Source organism: Homo sapiens, chromosome 15, assembly GCF_000001405.40.
Source record: "Homo sapiens chromosome 15, GRCh38.p14 Primary Assembly".
In the NCBI taxonomy this organism is placed as follows: Eukaryota; Metazoa; Chordata; class Mammalia; order Primates; family Hominidae; genus Homo; species Homo sapiens.
The window spans coordinates 71,605,196-71,629,264 of record NC_000015.10 but is presented as its reverse complement, the minus strand read 5'-3'; the positions used below and the strand labels follow the sequence as shown (position 1 = coordinate 71,629,264).

General features: G+C 41.7%; 1 protein-coding gene across 10 annotated transcripts in view, besides 1 other annotated feature; it reads right to left on the bottom strand.

Annotated features, from left to right (window-relative positions):
- The window catches only part of THSD4 (thrombospondin type 1 domain containing 4), a 686,490-nt gene that overhangs the window by 154,119 nt on the left and 508,302 nt on the right, over window positions 1-24,069 (bottom strand). The window contains exon 1 of one of the 10 annotated variants that reach the window (XM_011522043.4): window positions 1,980-3,976. The exons of the other annotated variants lie outside the window; for them this stretch is intronic. Within the exon in view, the coding sequence (XP_011520345.1) occupies window positions 1,980-2,165 (186 nt within the window). The 5' untranslated portion in view covers window positions 2,166-3,976. Of the gene's footprint in view, window positions 1-1,979; window positions 3,977-24,069 lie in introns of those variants that run through there. 10 annotated transcript variants of the gene reach the window in all.
- Window positions 18,921-19,215: a silencer, noted in NCBI's record as "tiled region #14876; HepG2 Repressive non-DNase unmatched - State 3:PromF". NCBI's record gives its function as "represses a minimal TATA promoter and a strong SV40 promoter by Sharpr-MPRA in HepG2 cells {active_cell/tissue: HepG2}" and the evidence as "EXISTENCE:reporter gene assay evidence [ECO:0000049][PMID:27701403]".

Here is a 24,069-nt window from a genome sequence, read left to right as displayed (position 1 = left end):
TTGTCCAGCTTCAGCCTTACTGGGCAGACAGTGCGGGTCTCTACTGCCAGTTCAGTATGCTGCTGTTCATGCAGAGGGAGCCCCCATGAGTTTTCTGGCCGTTCCACTACATTGTTTATTCAGATTGAGCCAACCCGGTGACAGATTGGATGTAGAGGCTGACAGAGTGAGAAAAGTCAGGGTGTTTCAAGGGTCTGGTAAGTTACAAACGTAACCAAACCCCGTGATAACTGTTTTGCTTTAGACACACACCACTAGATTATAAAACTGCCTTGTTTATCTTCGCATCGCAAGTGTCTAGAACAGTCTCCAGCTCACCATAGGCACTCAATAAATATTAGTTAGATGGCTGGATGACCAACCATATTTCTGTCACTGCCAGCCTCATTCTGCCTGTTTCCCGGGGATGCCTGGCTGGTGCCTCAGCAGGACAAGCAGCAGTTGTGAGTCAAGGTGGGGGCTTCCCAAACTTGCATGGATTTTCTGTTTTCTCACCTGGGGAAGAGTCACCAAATTCATCTGTAATCAAAGACTCTTGAACGTCTCCATCAAGATCAAGATTCGATTCTCAAAGTGTATTGACACCCTTGTTACGCAAAGTGTCACCTGCAAACTAACAGCATCAACATTGCCTGGGAGTTGTTAAAAATGCAGAACCTCAGGCTTCACCCTAAACCTCCTGAAGAGGAATCTGCATTTTAACCAGATCCCAAGGGGACTCGTGTATGCGTCCCAAAGGGTGAGCAGCCCTGGTCTCTGCCAAATGGGCTGAGACCTGGTGCACCTTGCTTCAAATTCCCGTTCTGCTCCTTGATTGCTGCGCCACCTTGGATAAGTTAATTTCTCTGATCTCTGGTGTCTTCATATTTAATATGAGAATAAATAATGCATAGGGTTGCTATGAAACATGAGGAAGTGTGAACATAAAACTATCCAGTTAAGAAGGTTTCAAGTAAGGCTGTGTGTCATTCTCAGCCTTTCCTTTTTTACCCCCTTGTTAATGAAATTAAGATGATCCAAGGCTTCTGCTCCTCTGTCAATGGAATCCTCCCTCCTTTCAAAGCTCTCTCCTTTTCAACCCTGAGTGTATCCTAGAATCACTTTGAAGGCTTTGAAAAGCTACCGATGCCCAGGCCTTACCCACAGGACTCTGACTGACTTGGGCTGGCACAGGCCTGGCCATGATAACTTGTTGAATGTTTCCCAGGTGATCCTACTGTGTGCCCATGACTCTGGGGCACCCAAACTCTGCCACTTACCTAAGGGTAAGAGAATGCTTAGCTGGAATATGGAAGGGCCCAGCGAACGTTTATCAGGTTGTCCATATGTGAACCTTTCTAAAGCTTTGTCTTCCTGAAAACATAGTCTGCTGGTAACCCCCACATGAAGTTCCTGTTCATTGTGAAAACCAAATTTCTGCCTTGACCCAGGAGATGCTCTGCTTGAAACCACCATATAATTAAACTCTTCAGTGACAAATGACTCACAGCTCAACTGGAAAAAATCTCTCCTTACTCTGAACCAAAATCTTCCTCTCCCCTGCCCTATTGTACAATACCCTGAAAATAATCTGTAATTCTCATTCCATGGGGATTCTTAATTTATAAGAAGAGAAATATTTTTCCCCTACTGTCATTTCCAGCTCAGATCCAACAGGCGGTCCTCATATGAGATTTCTGGACCCCTATAACCTTGGTCAAACTCCTCTGAAGGCAAGTAACTGGTTATTTGATACCCATGTGTCCTTCTAAAAGCTAAACCTACTTCTCATCTAGTGAAGGGGCTGCCATTTACAGCCAATGGTGTTGTGGTACGGCCTGAGCTTGTGCAAGCTCAGATTCTCTGAGGAAAGTCATTTCAGTAGCACTGGCCCTTTGATGCCTGGGGCTCAAGTCACTGATCAAAAGCCAATGCCATGATTCAGCCCTACTGGCCCTGTCACAGATGAAGATGTCGGAGAGGTGACATACTACACAAACCCATATGAGCTGAACATCTTCCTCTTGAGGTTCCCTCCTTAGGATGGATGAATAGAACACACTGATCAGAGAAGGAACATTTAACTCCCCTTCACACAGACATCTATTCTGACAGTCCTCTGCCCAGCAATGGGATAGCTCTCCTTTCCCTTTCTGTAACCTCAGGACATGTTCCTTTTCTTCCATGAACACCTAAAAAAAAAGAGTGTCAAAACCAACACAAAAGAAACAGAAAATGTATACAGACAAATCTCCATGGACTAAATTCATATAACAGAGAATCTTCCTATGTCCTACCTCCCTTCCTCAAATATTAGACGTAGACAGTTTTATGGGTAAGTTCTATCAAACATTCAAGGAGCAGATAATTCCCACTTTACAAGTTGTTTCTGAGTACAGAAAAAGAAGGAAAGCTGCCCATCTCATTTAATGACATAGTATGTCCTTGATTCCAGAGCTAGATAAGAACAGTGAAAGCAGAGAAAATAACACGTCAATGCTACCTATTTTGAAATGTCATGATCTTGAGTAAAACACTAGATAATGAAATCCAGTGGTATGTTAATGTGGTAATGCGTTATAATCAGATGATTTTTATCACAGAAGGTAAGGATAGTACAAAATCGGATAAAATCTCTAAATGTAATTCATTCCATCATTGGTACTACAGAAGAAAAATCATATGGGAATCTCAAAAGATGCAATTTAAATAAAGCATCTTTTGATGCTTTAAAAATCTGTTAAAGTTCAATGCATATTTAGTGTAAAAATTCTTAGAAAAACTTAGACACAGAAGGGCACATTATGAATCTGAAAATGGTTTCTACCAGAACCTACCTCCACAGAAACCACCACTCTCAAAAGAGAAAATTTAATACACATTCCACTGAGGGTCTGGAAGAAGACAAAGATGCCCACAGTCACCATGTTGTTCAATAAGATATAAGTGCAATAACACACAGGAAGGAAATAAGAAGTATTAGTGCTGGAAAACATGAGAAAAGGTTGCCATTGTTTGCAGATGTTGTTTTTCTTACTTAGAAAACCGAATAAAATCCAACAACTCTGAGAATTAGAGAGTACCAAAAGATTGCAAGTTACAAGATACCATAAATTGTACGTCTCTATAACCAACAATAACCAACCACAAAAAGAATGCAAAATAACATACTCTTCACAATAGCACCAAACATTATGAATTACTTAGAAATTAAGCTCACAAACACTGTATAAGATCTTTGTAGAAAAATGTATAAAAATCCTCTAAAAGGACGTAAAAGAAGATCTAAATAACTGGAGAGATGTGCCACAATTTTGAATGACAAAACCATATTTGATTTACCCATTTCTAATCCTGCAGAGTCCTCCAGGAAGTCTTCCGTGACTCTCTAAACAGGATTATGGACTGCCAGTCTGTGCTATCCCAGCTGCTGTGCCCCTCTCTACCTTAGCAATCTATCACCTCTTAGTCTCCACCCCCTCCACCCTGGAATTGTGAGCTCCCTGAGCAGACTAAATTTTCCTCATCCTGCACTCCTAGCATTGAGCACAGTGCTTGGAATATAGTTACTGCTAATTAATACTTATTGCATGAATGAATAAAAGAGACCAATGCTTGTTTGCATGGTCCCACTTATTTGCTATTTGTCAAGATAAACACAAGGACCACTTTCATCTAAGAGTAATGGATATGGGAATGACAGTAACCAAGAAGACCTAAGAATCTTAGAGATTTATCATAGTCTCTAGTACCCAACTCTGTCCTTTGTCCTCCTGTTTTTCTCTTTTATTTGAGTGCAGAATTTTTCAAACTTCTCCTCACCTTCTTTCTCATTTCTACATGGTACTCCTCAGTTCCTCAAGAAGCTCTTTCTTTGAGATTTAGTCTCTTGAAGAGCCCCCAATATACTCAACAGGCAATCTCATCTCCAAGAACCCTGTAGAATAGATGGATTTATCAAAGGTCTTCACTGGCCCAGGCTGTGGCTGGTGGCTCACACCTGTAATCCCAGCACTTTGGGAGGCCAAGGCGGGTGGATCACCTGAGGTCAGGAGTTCAAGACTAGCCAGGCCAACATGGTGAAACCCCATCTCTACTAAAAATACAAAAATTAGCCGGGGGGTGGTAGTGCATATCTGCAGTCCTGGCTACTTGGGAGGCTGAGGCAGGAGAATCACTTGAACCTGGAGGCAAAGGGTGCAGTGAGCTAAGATGGCACCACTGTACTCCAGCCTGGGAAACAGAGCAAGACTCCATCTCAAACAAACAAACAAACAAACAAACAAAACAACAACAAAACAAGCTCTTCACTGGCCCACTAGAAAAAAATAAGTATGCCTGGATCCCATCCCAGCCACCAGGAATCAGATTCTTTAGGAGGTGAAGTCCAGGTGTACATGTATGCCCAATATCTGTCAAGATCAATGACAGTATAATGGATTGCTCACCAGATGATCCTAGCACAGGACATCTTTCACATGGCTTTCTCTGCAGGCAAGGCTGACAGGGTCTTTTTGCTGGGCTTGAAGGATGACTTCATGCCACCATATGAGTTGGATTCCTGGCCAATGACAACAGTCCATGGCCTTCTTTAGACTGAAGCAAAAAGCCAGACTAGACTTCCACTTGAACAAGGCATCATAAAAAAAAGAGGGCAGGTGTGAAAACAGGATTGGATTTACACATTAACACCAAATGAGTCCAAAACACAGGGTTTCAATTAAGCCACACACAAAATGCCTTCCATATTGATTACTTTCATCAAGAACTAAGGCTGTCACTCCATGGCAAAGAAATATACTGGCAGATTTATTGGACATTTCCTCCCCACCAAAAACTACTTTTACAGGAAAGTATTCCCCAAAAATGTGATTTAAAGTGTTTACAAATTGAAGATTAAATAATTCAAATATATAACATGTTCATCTATTTTGTTGTTGTGGATGCTGTGGTATGCAGTCCGGATTCCTTTCAGGACTGAGGCTGGAGACTCAGAGCTGAATCCCCCACATAGGACTGCTTTGCTCAAGTGTTCTCACTGGGGGCAGCTGGTATCCACTGATTGGGTGATGGAGGGGCATAAAGGCCCTGTCCCATTGCTTCTATTGGGACAACTCTGAAAGGTCATTGTGGCTCCAGAACTCCCTGTAGGATATGTTAAGTTATCTGTTGGACCTGATCATTCTTGCAGCCCTTACCCTTCACGTGTTGTTCTCGATCACTCTCCCTAGTAGACCTCCTGCAGACAAATCTCAAAGTCTGTTTCCCAGGGAAGCCAATCCATGACATCTGTCTGGTTCATGAATTAATTCACTGTTGTAAGACTTGATTATCTGATTAGATTTTTTTTTTTTTTTTTCTTGAGAGGGAGTTTTGCTCTTGGCATCCAAGCTGGAGGGCAATGGCGCCATCTCGGCTCACTGCAACCTCCACCTCCCAGGTTCAAGTGACTGTCCTGCCTCAGCCTCCTAGGTAGGTGGGATTACAGGTGCCCGCCACCATGCCTGGCTAATTTTTGTATTTTTAGTAGAGATGGGGTGTCACCACGTTGGCCAGGCTGATTTTGAGCTCCTGACCTCAGGTGATCCCGCCCACCTCGGCCTCTCAAGTGCTGGGATTACAGGCGTGAGCCACTGCTTCCGGCCGATTCTCTGATTAGATTTTAAACTTTTTTGATGAAATATTGAGTCTTAACTACTTTAAGATGCCATAATACTGAATACAGTGCTAAGCAAAATAAATATTGACTAGTTCTCATTTCTATCTTTCAAATATTTCTAATGCTCCTCTTTTATAGCATGGGCTCAGGTATCAGATGGCGTAGGTCAAGATCTTGGCTCTACTGTTTACTTACGGGAAATACTTTTATGTTGCTAAATCTCAGTTTTCTCTTCTGTAAGACGGGATTAAAGTACTTCTTTCATAAGGCTATTGTGATGATTAAAGAGTATAATCTATGTAAAGCATTTCGCACAATGCCTGGCACATAAACATTCAATAAATGGTAGTTGTTGTCATTAATGGCATAACACTGGCACCACTCTGGTAACCTTAGTTATTGTCTTAATCATCACTTTGCTCCTTGATTATTATAATAGAAATTGGTGTTCCTAACACTCAGTTTTCCTCTTCATTACCCCTTCCCTCCAATTCTTTCCAGTGGCACCAAATTAATTTTCTTAAAATATGGCTTTTATTACATTTTCCTCTGCTCAATATTTTTCAGGGACTCCTGATTACCGAGACCTCCATCAACTGGCACTGCTGGAGCCATCCAACCAGCACTGCAACAGAAAAGACTCCTCTTCCTTGTCCTTGGAACATGGCTCACTCTGGCTTGCTCTTATTTTCTTTATCAATCCAAATCCTGCCCAGCTCAATGTAGATCCCATTGAACAAATCTCCCCTCAATCTAGGTCCATAGCTACCTCTGCCTATCCTGAGCCTTCACTTACCCTAACAGTATCCTGCATTTCCAATACTGTATGATCAAAGGTCTCCCTAAACTTCTAGCTTTCCCTCAGGCTTCATAACTGACTTAAAAATCTCCCTTGATAAACTCTTCATCAGGACTTCCTACAAAAATTGCTATTCTGAGCTTCTCCATTGGTCCTTAGCTGCTTTTCACATCATTAAAATTTACAAAAAGAGGGTAATAAAAAGTAGATTGAACATCTTGAAAAAAGTATTTAGAACATGTTAGAGAAAAGTGAATCACACGTGTAAATAATACACAAGGCCAAATGCTAAGTTGCAATGAAGTAAAGAGACATACGGAATTTGTCAAAAAGGAGTCAACTGGCTTCCAGATTTGGGAGACTGATGCCTCTGAGTTATTTTTGCTGGTAAAAATTCCAGTTTATGAGTAATATTTGGGACATGGTATCAACAGTCAACAGTTCACAAACTCTTGAAAAAGTCTCCAGTAGAAAAGGTTTAATTAAACTTGACAGAAACTCTCTAGCAGCTTTCATAAGTAATTGCTATTACCCAAAATAGGACCAACTCATAAATTGCATGATTTCAGAAATGATGAATCAATAAAAATGTTTATAGAAAGAACATTTTGATTAATTCCTTCAGAGTAACAAATTCATGGCACATGTGATAAATCGAGATTTCTATTGTAAATTAGGGAAACCCAGAAATCAAACCCAGCCTTCAAATACAGCCCTTTGGATAACTGATCCCAACTTTTGGCATCGGGAATTGCTTTCTAAACAGCTCCTCCAAGATCACCTGAACCACACCTCTGGGCCTCATTCCTGAGACAGGTTCAAAATCACTTCGATTCTCAGTCATGCTAACAGCCAAGTAAGATTAATGATAGATAATATATCATGATTACAAAGAAGTCTTGATAAATCAAGCAACAAGTTACCCAAAAGTAACTAATGGCTTCTTTTTCTACCTATAAACTCAACAACAACAAATCATTAGCAATTGTAATAAAATAATATCTCCTCTATTACTGAGACTTAACATGGAAGTTCCATTTATCTAGAGCACAAGTGAATATTTTTGTTATATGGCACTGTGTTCATAGCAAATGACTTGAACTTCTACAAGAATCTAAAAGGCGTTTTCAGCCATCAATGAATATGAAATTATTTTCACCACAGTTTTAGTGTCCAAACATAGCTATTAATTTTTGAAAATATTATTGAATGATAGCTATAGTAACAGTTAATCAGAATATCAATAACTTAACACTCCAATGGAAATGTACACATGATTATTTAATAGGTACAATATTACTATGTCATCCCCGTAAACTACCTTTTTTTTTCTCCAAAATGCTCTTCAGTTACTGAATGAGTGTGCAAAACAACAAATAACTGGAATAAAGTTAGTGTTTCATAGCATCTCAGGGTTGAAAGGGACCTTTAGGAACACCCAAATCAATCCCTCATCTGGGACAACTGTCCTAGCAACTCATGGGTTCTTTTCCATGTTAATGATCTCCATTGAACTTACAAAAAATGTACGCTTGTTTTCAGTCAATATCTTGACAGCAATTTTCAATTTTTCCTGTAGAAACTCGTAATTAAGTAGTATTTTTATTAGTACCTCTCACACATTTAATTATATATTGTATTTCACAGCAATCTAAATTACCATTAATTGTAAGTTATATCCTGGGTTCTTAGATGTTAAGATGTGAAACAATTGTGCATTTTAGAATTGATAATCCATGGTACTTTGGGTGTATAATTATACTTACAAAGGAAAAGAAATCATGAACATAGAATATGGGGCAAAGGACCCCAGAAATCATCTTGTCCAACGTCCTACCATCCTATTTTAAAGATCAATAAATTTACAGCCAAAGAAATTATCTGCCCAAAATAACACAATAGGAGGCAGCCAGAAAGGAGACCATAACATAGGTTGGACTCCCAGCCAGAAACTGACCCTGCTGCTTATTAGCCTTTTTAACCCTCTACCCCACCTGAGAGTTAAGACATGTCTCCACTACTAAGAGTGGTCACCAGAGCAATAAGTCTATGTTGGAGGGGTGGGCAAAGTTGGAAGGATGGCATCAGATATGTGCAGGTTGAATCTATCCACTCTGAGGCTTCATTTCTCAAGCCTTGTGCAAGGTTATACACAGAGTACATAGATCTAATTATGTTATTTGTCACCACTATCATTAATAAGGTTGCTTCAGCTGAGTTAATCAGCAAGAATAATGAGCTACTCTTGGTGCCCTGCTAATGACATATCATCAGACAAAAAGTTGGCCTTGAATTCCTGGGCTCAAGTGATCCTCCTGTCTCAGTCTCCTGAGTAGCTGGGACTCCGGGCATGCACCACCATGCCCGGCGAATTTTGTTATTATTATTATTTTTTTTTGTAAAAACAGAGTTTTGCTATGTTCCCCAAGCTGATCTCTAACTCCTAGTCTCAAGCAATCCTCTCACCTTGTCCCCTTGAAACTCTGGGATTACAGGCATGAGCCCCCACACCCAGCCAGACAACTATGTTTTTAAATACCAATAATATGTTAGACACCATATTAAGCATTTTTCATTAGTTAGCTCACTTCATTCTTAACAACTCAATTTTTTGGATGAGAAAACAGAATATCAGAAATGTTAGGTAACTTTCCCAAAGCCTCACAGGTACTAAAGTGGCTGAGCTAGGCTCTGAAGCCCAGTTTGTCTGCTTCAAATGCTGGGCTGTTTCCTCTATGCCTCCTTCTTAGGACTCTCAAAGGCCTTTAAACCACACATCATTACAACTTGCAGAACATCCTATATTTTTCTTCTCACTGACTTCTAGGACTACACCTGAATTTCTAAAGAGCTATATGTAACTCTAGTCTTCTAGGCTGGTCACACTTGATGGAGAATATGTCGAATATATACTAGCTGAACAGAAGAAATATTAAGAAATAGTTAAACAACGTCAAACCTTGGTCAGGATCACCAATCAGGTATCAGTTGAATTAGTTGGAAAAATGAACTGTTACTGTCAGACAGACCTCCCTCCATGTGTATGCATTTATTTCCACCTACCAAATAAAGTTCTATCTGAAACAGACAGCGTGCTGTGCCCTATGCTTGTATGTTCTGTTTGGAGTTACATGTTTGAATATAATGCACGGAGAGAAGAGAAAACTTGAGCCACAAAGAAACAGAATAGATAGGAGCAACAGAAATTTCAATGTATATTATCACCAACTGGGGGTAAAACTTTGTTTCAGGCAAGTAGAATGGGACCAGGACATAAGTCATCCAGCAAGGATTTATGGAATCTTAGGAGCAGGCTACTGAATGAGAAAATAACAAATTTGCTCAAACGTAACTCTCCCGGTGCCTCTGCCCCTTCCGAACACTGGGGCCTGCCTTGTTTTCCAGATGCTAACTATCCTGGCTCTCCTGGGTCCGCAGAGAAACCTTTCTGGGTGTTTGACAATGCTTTCATCTTTTTAATTTAAATCCTGGTTTGGCTCTTTAAAAATCTGTAAGATATGTAAAGATGCAGAAAGATATAGAAAATAATATCCAAGACCAGGCGCGGTGGCTCATTCCTGTAATCCCAGCACTTTGGGAGGCTGAGGTAGGTGGATCATCTGAGGTCAGGAGTTCAAGACCAGCCTGGCCAACATGGTGAAACCCCATCTCCACTAAAAAAATACAAAAATTAGCCGGGCGTGGTGGTGGGCACCTGTAATCCTAGCTACTGAGGAAGTTGAGGCAGAAGAATTGCTTGAACCCAGGAGGCAGAGGTTGCAGTGAGCCAAGATTGTGCCACTGCACTCCAGCCTGGGCAACAAGAGCGAAACTCAAAAAAAAAGAAAAAAAAAAGAATATTCAAGTATCCACCAAATTAAGTTTTTGTTACTTTTGTTTAAAGTACCTTCCTTTTTGAGAAAACAAAACATTATTAATAATGTTGAAGAGGCTGTGCACGGTGGCTTATGTCTGTAATCCCAGCACTTTGAGAGGCTGAGGCAGGCGGATCGCTTAGGTCCAGGAGTTCAAGACCAGCCTGGGCAACATGGCGAGACCCTGTCTCTACAAATAATTTTTTTAAAAGTCAGCCTGGTGTGGTGACACGCACCTGTGGTCCCAGCTACTCAGGAGGCTGCGGTTGGAGGATCACCTGAGCCCAGGAGGCTGAGGCTGCAATAAGCCGTGATTGTGCCACTGCACTCCAGCCTGGGTGACAGAGTGAGACCCTGTCTCTTAATAATAAAATAATGTTGAAGAACCTTTTGTTGCACCATCCCCATTTCCACCCCCTCCCAAGAGGCAGCCTGTGATGCCGGGGTATATCCCTGCTTTTATATTTTATATTTTGTGTTGTCTTTAGCAATTTGCATATTGGTAACATAACTTTAGTAGCTTGCTTTCTGCGCTCTGTTGTTTTTGAGATCTATCCACGTCGACACATATGCGTATAGTTTAGTCGTTTTAACTGCTGTTAAAGTGTGCGCATGTGGGAGAGGTGCCCTAAAGTGTATACCTGGAAGTGGGATTGCTTACTTTTATGGAGTGTGCATTTTCAATTTTACTAGAAAGTGCCTCTGTCTTTAACTTTTGCTTGTCAATTCATGCAGTTTCTGTATCTAAACAAGGTGACCTCCAACAGCATTAGGTTAACAGAGAATTTTTATGAAAACTTAACCAGGGTTCAAAGAGCATCATACTTTTCTTCAGAAGACCACTTTGGATATTTCTTGGTTTTAGATCTTTCCATGACTGAAAGTGTTTCCAAGCTTTGGGCTAGGAACAGAGATGGAAAAATACGGACCCTTGTTGTTCAGAGGTGTGTGCTGATTGTTTGGAGTCTTTGGACATCAGCTCATGCCAGCCAGGGGGGAATTGGTAAATGGCCCCTTTGAGAAAAAAGATAAACAGAAATCAAGAAACGCTGGAGCTAACTGGAAAATTGTTTTCATAATTCAATTTTGTTTTACATAACCTTGCTCCCCCAAATGTTAGTAATTTAGCTCAAAGAGCTGTTAGTGTTATTAAATAGTCACTAAATGTTGCAGAGGCAGCTCAGCAAAATTCACGAATGGAGAAACCATTTTATGACCATCGTTTCACCTCCGGGGGTGGCTCACTGCATTTTGTTCCAGGCCCCTAGGGCCCAGAGGTAATAACATCTGTATTTTTAAGACCAGCTTTGCACCACACCTGCATATCAATTCCCCTTTCTGACTTCTGCCTCTAAACCAAAGCCAAATGTTTGGCTACGGATTTGGTTTCCAGGGTTCGGCTGAGTATGAAAGGCAGCAGCTCCAAGACTTCACTGGTCCCACCAAAAAATTGTTTAAGTGAGGTTAATTGAGTCCTGGGAAAGTTTAAAAAATTGAAATCCTTAGAGGAAACTGAGATGAAGGGAAAGAAAGGGAGAAGAAGAAAAAGAGAAGGCAATGAGAAATGACTGACAAAAACAGAAGTTAAATCAAATGATGATATTAATTAAAAAAATTTAAACTAAAATCATTTAAAAATTAAAATATTTAAAAAATCATTTTAGTTTAATTTCACATACTTCCATTAATTCGTTTCTGGCTTGTATCTGATTTTATTGCAAAACTAGAAAATTACTATTAAATGTTCTAACATCAACTGGAGGATAGGAAATTTGAGGAGGGTAAGAAATCTCAGATTGGAGTTTATGTTAGTTGGTTTATCACTCTAAGCTTCTGAGGACATTTGCCATGATATCACATGATGCAATATGAATCAATTCTCTAATTTATAAATTATCTTCTAATAATTAGAAGTAATTCTAGATTGGCCACTCCCTGGTAACAGGTTGGAAGTCCCTTTAAACTAATGGCTAAACCCTTCTGAGCCCCTATTACAGGCATGGGTTACTGTGAGCAGTTGATCTAGAAAACAGTGTAAATGAAGCTTTCGAGGAGATTTGCTGCACAGTGGCCCTAATCGAGAAAGCTTTCTCGTAGAGAGTTAATCCTATTCATGATGAATGAAGTGAAACAGTCACAGATGCTTGGAGATGAAGACCACCCAGTCCAATCCAAGCCTCTTGCCCAATGCAGGAATCTCATCTACAGCTTTCCATCCAGCCATTGCTAGAACATTTCCAGTGAAGAGAGCTCTTTGCGTCTGGGTGCAATTCTATTTTCTAGGAAATGCTTCCTCACAGTGGATTGAATTCAGGCCCCTTACTACTTCTACCCACTGGTCGCAGTTCTGCATTGTGAGTAGTACAGAAAAGTTCTAACCCTATTTTCCAAGTTTTGAAGATGGCACTGTTGCCACCACTTGTCTGCCTCTACCTGTTCTTCTTCAGGTTAAATCATGCCATCTCTTTCTCAATTGTCCTCTTTGGATTGGAACCCTATATTACTGGTCCTGGTCACCCTCCCTTGGGTATGTTCTAGTTTATGAAGGCCTTTCTTAAAATAAGCACCTAAGAATGGAACATGATGTAGTCTGACCAGCAAAACATAAGAGGATTATGCTCAGAACCCTACCTTTCTACTAAGACATTCCACAATTAGATTCACTTTTTAAACCTTTTTTCATACTAGTGGTTTTTACTGAAGGTCAGTTCCAATTTTCTGACCATTTTTAGGTGAATTTCAGAGTATTAAGATCAGCTATTCAAGTCTGTCTGTTCAACAGATTTTTTTTTAAGGAACTGCCATCAAGCTTAGATGTGGTTTCCAAATTATACCCACCTTCCATTTTGAAAACATGGACATTTGTCCATCTTTAGTCTTACAGTTTTTCAATCAATTGGCACATTTGTACTGTGTGTCTATCCTGGGCCAGATGTTGTGCTGTGAGGTGGGTCAGTGAATAAGACACAATTTCTGCTCTCAAGGAGCCTCTATTCAGTGAGGAGAGTCACATGAATGCACAGAAGGTTACAGGAGCTCAGAAACAAGATGCCTCTGAGAACATATTCATCCACACTAAAGAGGCATCGTTCCCTGGGGTGCTGGGCTCAACCTGCACACAATGAGTGTTGGTGGGAAGCCCAACTTCATCTTAAATGCCTGGGTCCTTCATCTTCTCACCTAGCCAGGGCTGCAGAGGCCTCTTTTCGCTGTTGTTTACACCCTTTCTCATGTGAAGAGCAATTTCCATCCAGGAAAAGACAGAATACAAGAGGAAACAGCTCTTGTTTCCCTTTGACATTGTTAACATTATTCTTGGGGCCTAAGGAAGAAGCCTGGTCCTCTACTCTGTACCTACTTATTCTAAAGGATGATGATGATGAAGATAATGGGAAAAGAAGTAGCTTCTGTTTAAAAAAATATTCATTCTGTGTAAGGTACATTATATAGTATAAAATACATAATTACATATATTTATATAAATTTATAAATGCATATTTCCCTTCTTACCCTGGTTCTCATTTTCTTTCAGTGGCATTCCTCAGCACAGTAAAGTGGATTGAATTTACAGGTTTTTGCTTGTTGTCTTATTAATTTACTTACGTACCTATCTACATTTTATTTTTAATCTTCCATCCTTTGGGAACCATATTTTCCTTTGGAGTCTCTGACCAGGGGACCCTGTTTATCTTTTCTAAAAATAGAGATTCCATGCATCACAGAAATCTCATTTCCATTTTTCCATTTACATGTAAAAGGGAAAAGTGAACAAGTCTGTGGGCAGAAGTAGAGAGCTATAAAAAAATTGGCCAATTGTTTTCCCTTACAAAACCAAATCTGCACAAATCAATTTACATAGAAAGTAGTGTAATCTGAGAGCCATTCTGAATGCCAGCTCTTTCTCAGGTCCTGTTTTTGAAAATTGGGCAGTAGTTTGATAGAGAGGGTGGCATCTTCCTATTCCGCGCAACACCTCATGCACAGGCTTCTAAGAACTCGTGGAGGGAAGCATGCTCCGCAGAGGTCCTAGCCAGGAGTCGGCCTCAGTTAACTTGAACCTCTGGGATGTTTGCTTATACTAGTGGATGCTTCTTTCCCTTTCAGGTCCAGCTGACTGCCTCTCTCCTTCAAAAGAAGGAAGTAATCATCCCCTAGTTTCCTTGTATTCCGTTGCTGCTCTCTTTGAACATTACATATGCTTCATCTCCACTCAGAATCTCATTTTTTCTTTGGAATCCTCTACCATGATCATAACCAATATTGACCTCTCATTCTCTTCCTATACTTGAACTATGTCTTATAACCCAAACATTTCTGGATTTAATTATTTTCAGAAACTATTATTTTAAAATTTCACATTTAGGGATGTTCTTTTCAGTGAGGTGACACACCACAAGGTAGGAACCAAAATTTACTCTTCTCTCCTTCTGAAAACAACATCCGTTAGGTCATCGGGGATAGGTGAGATAAATGAATGGAAACGTTGCACACAGAAGATGGAGACTAGCAGGGAGGACTTTAGGAGTAGGTGTGAGAACCAGGAAAACTTAGCATCCTCTCAGTCAGGAGACTAGAATTCTCCAGAAGGCTCTGAGGTGGAAAAAGCAGGCGAAAATGACAATTGGTTTTGGTAATTAGGCAACTTCTAGTGTCCTCAAGAGTAATGGTGGCCGAATCCAGGCTGGAATGGATACAGAATGAAGTAAATGGTGGCGAGGAAATGCAAGAAGTGGGTCGAATTCTTCCCAAACAAAGGTACTCTTCTCTGTACTTACTTCTACTTTTGGGAAGAAGTGTTTAACCTGGGACAGACAGAAAAATGTTTGGCCAAAATAGAGTTGCTGCATTTTATAGAAAGATAAGAATAGGGTTCTTTAGAGAACAAGCATTTATATTCTGTTCCTGCCTCAACCACAGAAATTGGCTGTCTGGAGATGGCTTCCATGCTTAAAAGTTGCATTAATGAATATTCCTTGTATTACGAGGATAGAGAAAAGGGTCTATTTATTGAGTTTATGGTCTAGTCTACATGCAGCAAACCCCCATTCAGACCATAGACAGATATCAGTTACAGATATACAAAGCCCAGATGAGCTATACCTATACCCCACATAAAAGGAGGCATATTGCTCAGCAGGGAATTTGGCCAAAATATGATACTATTTTCCACCTAATCAGGACTGGTTTATTGGAGTACAGAGTTCTGCATGGAACCTATGGTTTAGATGAGATATGATCCTGTGTGTGCACAGAAGAAACCCTTCAGAACACAATAGCTGGTGAAGGTATGGATTCATAAATAAGTTGCAGAGGAAAAAAATGAAGATGTAGTCAGTTTAGTTTTGCTTGGGTGGATGTAGAAAGCTGTGAAAATGAGAGGGTCTAGATAAGGAAGAGAAATTTAATAGATTGTGACTTATTTTATATATGTGGCTCCATATGTATCTTCTGGCTAAAGATTAAGTTGTAATAGACAATTGATAAACCCATACATCCTCCTCCTATTTATGTCTTAATTCTTCAAATCAGGGTTTCGTAAAGTGGTTCTGAATCTGCAGGACTTAAAAAAATGTTAAAAATTGAAAAAACAAACAATGGATCCAGGGACAAGTTTGGGAAATGTTAAATGATACCAAATTAACCAAGTTTCCTTAGTGCAAGATATCCTAGAGGCTTTACTATGCCAGCGAGCCTTATGAATCTCCAAGAGGGGCACATAATACACGGCATTTCTTGAATTTACTTCCATATAAAACTCTTCCCATGCAAGACTCACAGGGTTTGAGGTTCTGAAACATGCTTTGGGAGAGGCTGCTTTTCACCACCTCTGCTTATACAAATACTACACCCTTGACTAGGGCCATTAACAAATGAAAATGCATTTGCTTTTCCATAAGTCAAGGTGAATTTCACAATGCTTTTCAATTAAGGAAGCAGACTCCACAAATCCTTTACCTGTGACCATTTACATGTGACCATGTGACAAGGGCCCTTATTAAACAAACAATAACACTCAAGATAGAATTACTGCCAAAAAACTAATCTATGAGTTTACTTCTTCCTACTGATGGCAATAGAGTTCTGTCTTTAGCCATAGTTAGCAATCACCAGAAACTTCAGCAAAGCAACACCCATCCATTTTGTTCTAAGCTTTTTGGAGTACCCTGGCTTGGACCTTTGAGCCATATCAATGCATTGACTCTCTGTTGGGAAATAATTTCACAGCTGGGGCCTCTTTCTGACTGTGACCCTTTGAGTTGTCAAATTCAGAAGGCATAGCAGACATGAGAGGAAGTTGAATGGCCTCCCATTCCAGTCCCCTAGCAATGTGTCAAAAGTTTAAGCAGCTGCATATCCCTCTTGTCTCCATCAACAGCTGCAGCACGGAACCCATCCCTTTCATGGGTGTCAGCCCAGAAAACAGCCTAACAGTGTTAGGTTCACACATTAACAACCTGAGCAACCTCACTGAGCCTAGGATAGCAGTTGGGCTTCCTGGGACCTGCCCTTTGAATTCCAGATCCTCCCTCTTTGTGCAACCACTTTTTCTATGAAATATTTATTTTCAGAAATCCTTCAAGGAACCATCTTACACAAGAGGTTTGCAGAAGAAATCTGGCCTCAATCCCACCGGGGGGTGATTGTTGAAATTGTGAGCTCATCCGACTGACCTCAGAGAGCCTCATTACATCTTTTACAAAAGGCTTTAATTCCCCTTTAGTGATCACACTGACAAAAGCACAAAGATGTCAGGTCATTCATGACCCCTTTCCAAAGGTCTCCCAGGCCTCCTGGCCCCTCCCTGACCACACAGCTAGTGTTTCCCAAGTCTTTGAGAGTTGTCCATTTCCAGAGAAATGGCTAAGAGGGGATATCTTCCAAATGACCCAGTTTTCCTGGGACCCCACAAGTCTTAGCTGCAGCTGGTACACAATACTCAACTGATTTAAATGCAGTTCTTGGCGAAGAGTACTCACTCAACTGCTCAGTTCAAAGCCTCCAAGACCTCATCCCTGCCCAATTTTCCAAACTAATTTACAGCCATTTCCCATCCTCCCCTCCCCACCATTACATCCTCATCCAGCAACCCCAGGGATCCAGGCATTTCAGAATATTCTCTGTTCCTTAATCCTGTCTTGCATATTCTTGACTCAGGGCTTTCACCCATGCTGTAGGCTCTGCCTTATTTGTCCTCATTCGCTTGGCAAACAAAAAGCCTCCTGTAATTTCCAACTGAAATGTCATGTTCTCTGAAACCTTTCCTGGCCACCCCAGGCCGGGTTAATCCTTCTCTGTTCTCTGCACATAACATTAATCGCCCACCTGTCATATTACACAATGGTTGCTTGTTATTGATCTGTGTCTCCTATGTCTAGACTGGGAGCTCTTTGGGGGTCCCCAGTGCTTAGCACAAAGCAGGTGTTCATAGGATGTTCACTGAAAAGAGAGAAGCACTGTAGCGTTTTCACTGTGAATGGGCACAGGGGTTGCTGAGTGAGAATTAGCATAGGGGTTTTTGCCGGGGTAGGGGCTGGCAGCAGGAAGTAGGCAGCAGCAAATGGAAAAGGCTGGCCTGGTCCCACCCTTCATCTCTTTCTAGAAGGAAAATGGCATTATTTTTACATCCAATGAAACACTCAAGACCCTCCAAATGCCTGATGCAGAAAAGAGAAGACCAGCATAGCAACACTAGGAAACCCAAAGGGCAGAGGATACACAAGGGAAATGGAGTCCATGCGCTGAAACTGGCTGTCTCTGCTATTTGTGGCATACTTACTGATTGCACAACTGCAAAACTGGTAAAATGGCATAATCACGGCTCAGGCCAAGTGTATTGGCTGTAAGTCCAGTGATTTTTATTTTAACTCGTCTAAAAACACTTTAAAAATTGCTAAGCCCTCTGTAAATAGTTGTATGCTAAGAATCTAGGGTAACACGTTGTTTATCCATGCAATCTTTTCCATACCCCAGTCCTTCTCACTTCTTCTTTCCATACACATATGCACACATCTACACACATATAAATATGCATGTAGGCATACATGTGGATATCTACATACATCTCAACTCACCTAGGGGCACCTCTCTAGACTCCCCATCCCATGACATAACTGCCCCTACTGCTCTCTGCTTCCCTCCAATTTATATCTGGAGAATGATTATCAGAGCATTACCTTTCATTATGTAAGGAAAGAGCTATAAAGATGGGCACTTTATACAGCATGGGGAAGGAGAGTCTATTAAATATATGTGTCTATTGCAGTAAATATGTATGTATGTATATAAGTATATACAGGTACATAAGTCACCCATGTTTACACATGAGCACAGACAGTGTTATAAATTTCTGGAGCCAGGATGCCTGTATCCCTGTCACCACTAAGTAGAACCTGTCCCTGTTGTCATCTCCATGCTGTTGCAGGACAGACTGTTTCTGAAAGGGCAGTCCCCTTTGTTAAGTTCCATCCTGTTGCCACAGGAGTTCTGTTGTGAAAAAATTCTCATTGCCTTGAGTATGCCCCAGTGCCTTCCTAAGAATTGCAGTTCCCTGGATGAAGGTGGGTCTCTGTGGTTCACATATATCTATGAAATGTGACATCCTCTTGCACTGGAAGGAACAATGAATAAAAACCAAGGGGAGAGATGAAGATGGCAGAAGGTGCCCTCTCTAAAGGAGGGGCCTGTAGTGGGCATGACACATCTCACTGGGCAAAATGCCACCATGGTTCTCTGCCTCTCTGCAACACATATTTCCTCTGAAACATCAGTGCTGATCATTATCAGTTACTTATCAATCTGATGCTTTCCCCTTACTTAACACCAATGTGCTCTTCTTGAAGTTAGCGAAGGACTGTGCATGACTGGATGTACTTTGAAACAGTTTATTTAAATCTCTCTGCAAACAGTTTTCACCTCTTTATTGTCGATGACAGTCTCGGATTCCATGCCAGGCCGCCTGTATTTAATTTGGCTTGCTTACTGGGCCCCAAGCATGCCCGAGCAAGTTCACTTTCTTTCAGTGCCTGGGATATAGGAAGCCCTCAATACATGGTAGTTCTGGTTGTTGTTTCTTTTTCTTTTTTTCTTTTTTTTTTTTTTTTGAGACGGAGTCTTGCTCTGTCGCCCAGGCTGGAGTGCAGTGGCATGATCTCCGCTCACTGCAAGCTCTGCCTCCTGGGTTCACGCCATTCTCCTGCCTCAGCCTCCCGAGTAGCTGGGACTATAGGCGCCTGCCACCATGCCCGGCTAATTTTTTGTATTTTTAGTAGAGACGGGGTTTCACCATGTTAGCCAGGATGGTCTCAATTTCCTGACCTCGTGATCTGCCCGCCTCGGCCTCCCAAAGTGCTGGGATTATAGGCGTGAGCCACTGCGCCCGGCCTGTTGTTTTTTTTCTTATACTCTCTCCCTCCATGTGTGCCCAAGTGAGATTACTGGCTTCTTCAGGCTTCCAAGAGAGCAGATCAATGTGGCTAATCTGGCCACAGCCCAAGTTAAATCAAGAGGTGACCCTGGCCCTGGAAGTCTGTTACCTCTGACCTTCAGGTCTGAACAAAACCTGAAGAGATGCTGAGGAATCAGGGACAGGGCTGAGCTAAGAGAAATTTGACTTTACTCCTAGTGAAATGACCCCTTCCACAGTGATGAACTATACAGTGCTGTTTAGAAAGTCCTGCAGTGGCTTGTATTTGTTAACTAATTTGTATGAATTCATATATGTGTTACTTATTGCATTAATAACCTACATTACATCCTCTATTCTTTTTTTCCCCTGTCTTCACATTACCAGTCTTCAGTTCATACATGCTCTGAAGAACAACAGTGTGTTAAGAAAGAGTTCTCTGGCGTCAGCTGGTAGTTAATGTTCTTTAGATCATTACCAATAGATAAGCCAGCACTAAGAAGAGCAAGCCAAGGGGATCCTGGACTTTATGTCACTTTCCAGATTTAAAATCCTTCTGTGGGGCTCATCACCTGCCCAGGGAGAGACTGATGTCCTCTTGAGTTAGCCAAACCAGGCCTTGGTTCTGACCGCCTTACTAACTCTGTGAAATGGGGCGTGTGAAATCATCCACCGGCCCCACTTTCCTTATCTACATATTGGGGATAATAGTCATTGCATTAGAATACTCACTGCATGATTGTATCATGAGGATTAAGTGATAGCAAATTTTAAATTATAATATTCATTTTTGGAGAGTATGAGGTGAGATGCTGGCAGTAGAAACAGAGATTAGAAGGACTTTTTGGAAAGCCATTTACCTTTGATAGGGATCAAGACACTTAAAATGCTCATGGCCTCTGACCCAGTCACTCCAATAATGGAAACCAATCCTAAAGGCATAATCCGAAACAAGGCCAAAGATTTAAAGACAAGTATGTTTATAATAGCTTAATTTATATTTACAGAAAACTGGAAACAACTCAAATGCACAGCATTAGGGAAATGATTAAATAAATTATTGCATGCTCATATCATGTGTGTAAGAGATTGCTTAAAATGATGTTGACAGAGAATTTGTAATAATGTGGGAAATCCCTTTTATAATGTTAAGTAATGAAAGGATGGTAGAGAATTTATATAATCCAGAAAGAAGTACATCAGGACGCTAACAATGGAGGATTTTCTTCTTTCTACTTTTTGAGTTTTATCATTTTTCTACAATGAGTGTGTGTGTGTGTGTGTGTGTGTGTGTGTGTGTATATATATATATTTTTTTTTTTTTTTTGAGACAGAGTTTTGCTCTGTCCCCCAGGCTGGAGTATAGTGGCGCGATCTCAGCTCACCGCAACCACCGCCTCCCGGGTTCAAACAATTCTCCTGCCTCGGCCCCACAAGTAGCTGGCATTACAGGTGCCTGCCACCACGCCCCGCTAATTTTTTGTATTTTTAGTAGAGACAGGGTTTCACCACGTTGGCCAGGCTCATCTTGAACTCCTGACCTCGTGATCCGCCCGCCTTGGCCTCCCAAAGTGCTGGGATTACAGGTGTAAGCCACCCAGCCCAGGCTAAGTATATATTTTTTAAAATGGAAAGATCACAACTACACTGAAACAATATGAAAACCTTGGCAAAGAGACTGTTAGACAGCAGGCACATAACACATGAGTCCTGTCCTCCTCTCCCTGAGCACACTCTACTCACTTCTTGCTCTCCTCCAGATTCTAGGCACTTCCTTAATTCTGAACTCCTACCTCCCAGGACCTCTCATGCCCTTCCACATGCCCTCATGTTTGTCCACCTGGAAAACATCATAGGTGCCCCATACCCACGCCTCATTAAGCCCTACTCAGTACGGCTCTAAGGCCACACCTCCGTTGTGACTGGGGGTTGGGTAAGGCTCTGCCACACCGGTGCTTTCCTGAGCACCCTCCTCATTCCCCAATTATAATCCTTATCATGCTTTGTGCTGTGATGACCACACACGTCTGTTTCACCGGAATGACAGGGAACTACTTCAAGTGTGGACAACATACCTTTCTCACCTTTGAATCCTCAAGTGTTGGGCATGATACTTGGGCCTTGGCAGTTCGTCAAAGGAGTACAGGAGACTTTCCTATGTTAACATCTTAACTTACCATGGTCACCTCTCAGGCTCCTTGTCATTTACAAATGCCATCCATTCTTGCCTTTGAGCATTTTTGCAAGCTGGACCATCTGCCTGTGATCTTCCTCATTACCACTTATTCTCAAGACAGCCAAGCTGTCTTTCCCCAACCTCTGGAGAAGCTCCTAAAATTCCACCTCTCCTGTGAAACACGAGTTCCTCCACCACTTCTGGTCAGAGACTCCTGGATCCATATTTAGGCATAACGGCTCTCTGGTGTCAGCCAGTGTCAGAGCATCTCTGATACTGTATCTCCATTTGTATCTCCTTCAAAGGCCCCAAATGGAACTTACCATGTGGCCCCCAGCTGGCCCATCTTTTCCTACCAATACACTTCTGTTGGAGCATTGCTGAGCTTTTGGTTTCTCCAAAATCTTCAGAGTATTCCACTCATGCATCCCTAAAGCCAAGCTGTCATCCAGTCCTGCTTTTTCCCCTCCTCCAAAATGTTTTCAGATTTGATCTCCCAATTTTAAGGACAGCTACAATACAATTGCCATTTGAGGCTGGGCATGGTGGCTCACGCCTGTAATCCCAGCACTCTGGGAGGCTGAGGCAGGTGGATCACCTGAGGTCGGGAGTTTGAAACCAGCCTAACCAACAAGGAGAAAACCCATCTCCACTAAAAATACAAAATTAGCCAGGCGTGGTGGCACATGCCTGTAATCCCAGCTACTCGGGAGGCTGAGGCAGGAGAATTGCTTGAACCCGGGAGGTGGAGGTTGCGGTGAGCCGAGATCATGCCATTGCACTCTGGCCTGGGCAACAAGAGTGAAACTCCGTCTCAAAAAATAAATAAATAAATAAATAAATAAACAATTGCCATTTGAAATGTTATTTCTGGGAGGTCTTATTCCTCTGAGCAGTTTATCCTGCCTCCTTGCTGGAGTTTGTGCCTCCAAACTGCATTCACTTTGCCATAGAAGCCTAAGTGACAAGGAATATAAAATTAATTATCACACTGCTGCAAAATACTCCTACCCCCAAAAGGAGCCAGACACCAACAACAGAAAATAATACAACTTATGTGGTCTCTCTGCCCTGCCACTGCACAAAGTAGTTTAGAAGAGGTTTCTTGGAGGAATCACCTTTGTCTTTTGCTCTTCGCAAGAACCAAGAAGAGGGAGAGCAGAAAAACAACAAAAAAGTAACCAAAAAACAAAAACAAAAACAGAGACAGTATTTTCTCTTCAACTACCCAGAGTCAAGCTTCTGCCCTCACTACATGAAGACATTTCCTTTGTCAAGGTTACCAGTGATGCCAAATCACTAAATCTGATGGCCAATGATGAGTCCTTATTTTCCCTGACCTAACAGAACACTTGGCCCAGGTGATGACTCCTCCCTGCTTCAAATACTTTCTTCAAGTAGCCTCAGGCACAGCTCACTCCGTTGGTTTTGTCTCTCTGTCTCTGGTTGCTACTTCTCAGTCTCCTGTGCCTTCCTCCCCATTTCTCAGACTTCAAGCATCGGAGCATCCCAGGGCTCAGTTCTTTGACCTCCATCTCTCCTCTGTCTACACTTGGTAATCTCATCTTGCCTCTTGGCATTGAATACTACATTTACATCTCCAACCTGAAGCTCTCCCAAACCTCAGACTTTTACACTCACTGGCTCTCTGACATCTTTACTTAGGTGTCCAAAAGGCCCTAGAAACTTTACAGTCTAAAATCTAGTTCTCGATCTTTCCTCCCAAAGCCGTTCTTCCCAGTCTTCCCCATCACAGCTGCTGGCTACTTCATCCTTCCCCCTGTTCAGGCTGAAGGTTTGCTGTTATCCCACCACTGCCACTGCTGCCATGTGGTCCAAGCCATCTTCCCCCTCACTTGGGTTTGTTCAGTAGTTAGTAATGGGCACTTCTTCTTCTGTTCTGTCCACTTATTGTCTGTTCCCCACACGGCAGTCAGAATGATCATATTAGAGCCAGAGCTCTGGGTGAAACCCCTCAGGGGCTCCCATCTCAATCCACCTAGAGGCCAAAGTCTTTACATGACCTATACTTAGAACGACTCTGAAGTTTCTCATCCAAACCAGGACGTTTTGATAATAATATTAGGACAGTAGGTATAAATGTGGATGGTCCCAGGCAAACAAAATATATACTTATTCTTCCTATAATGCCCTGCACGGTCTGGTCCCTGTCAACTT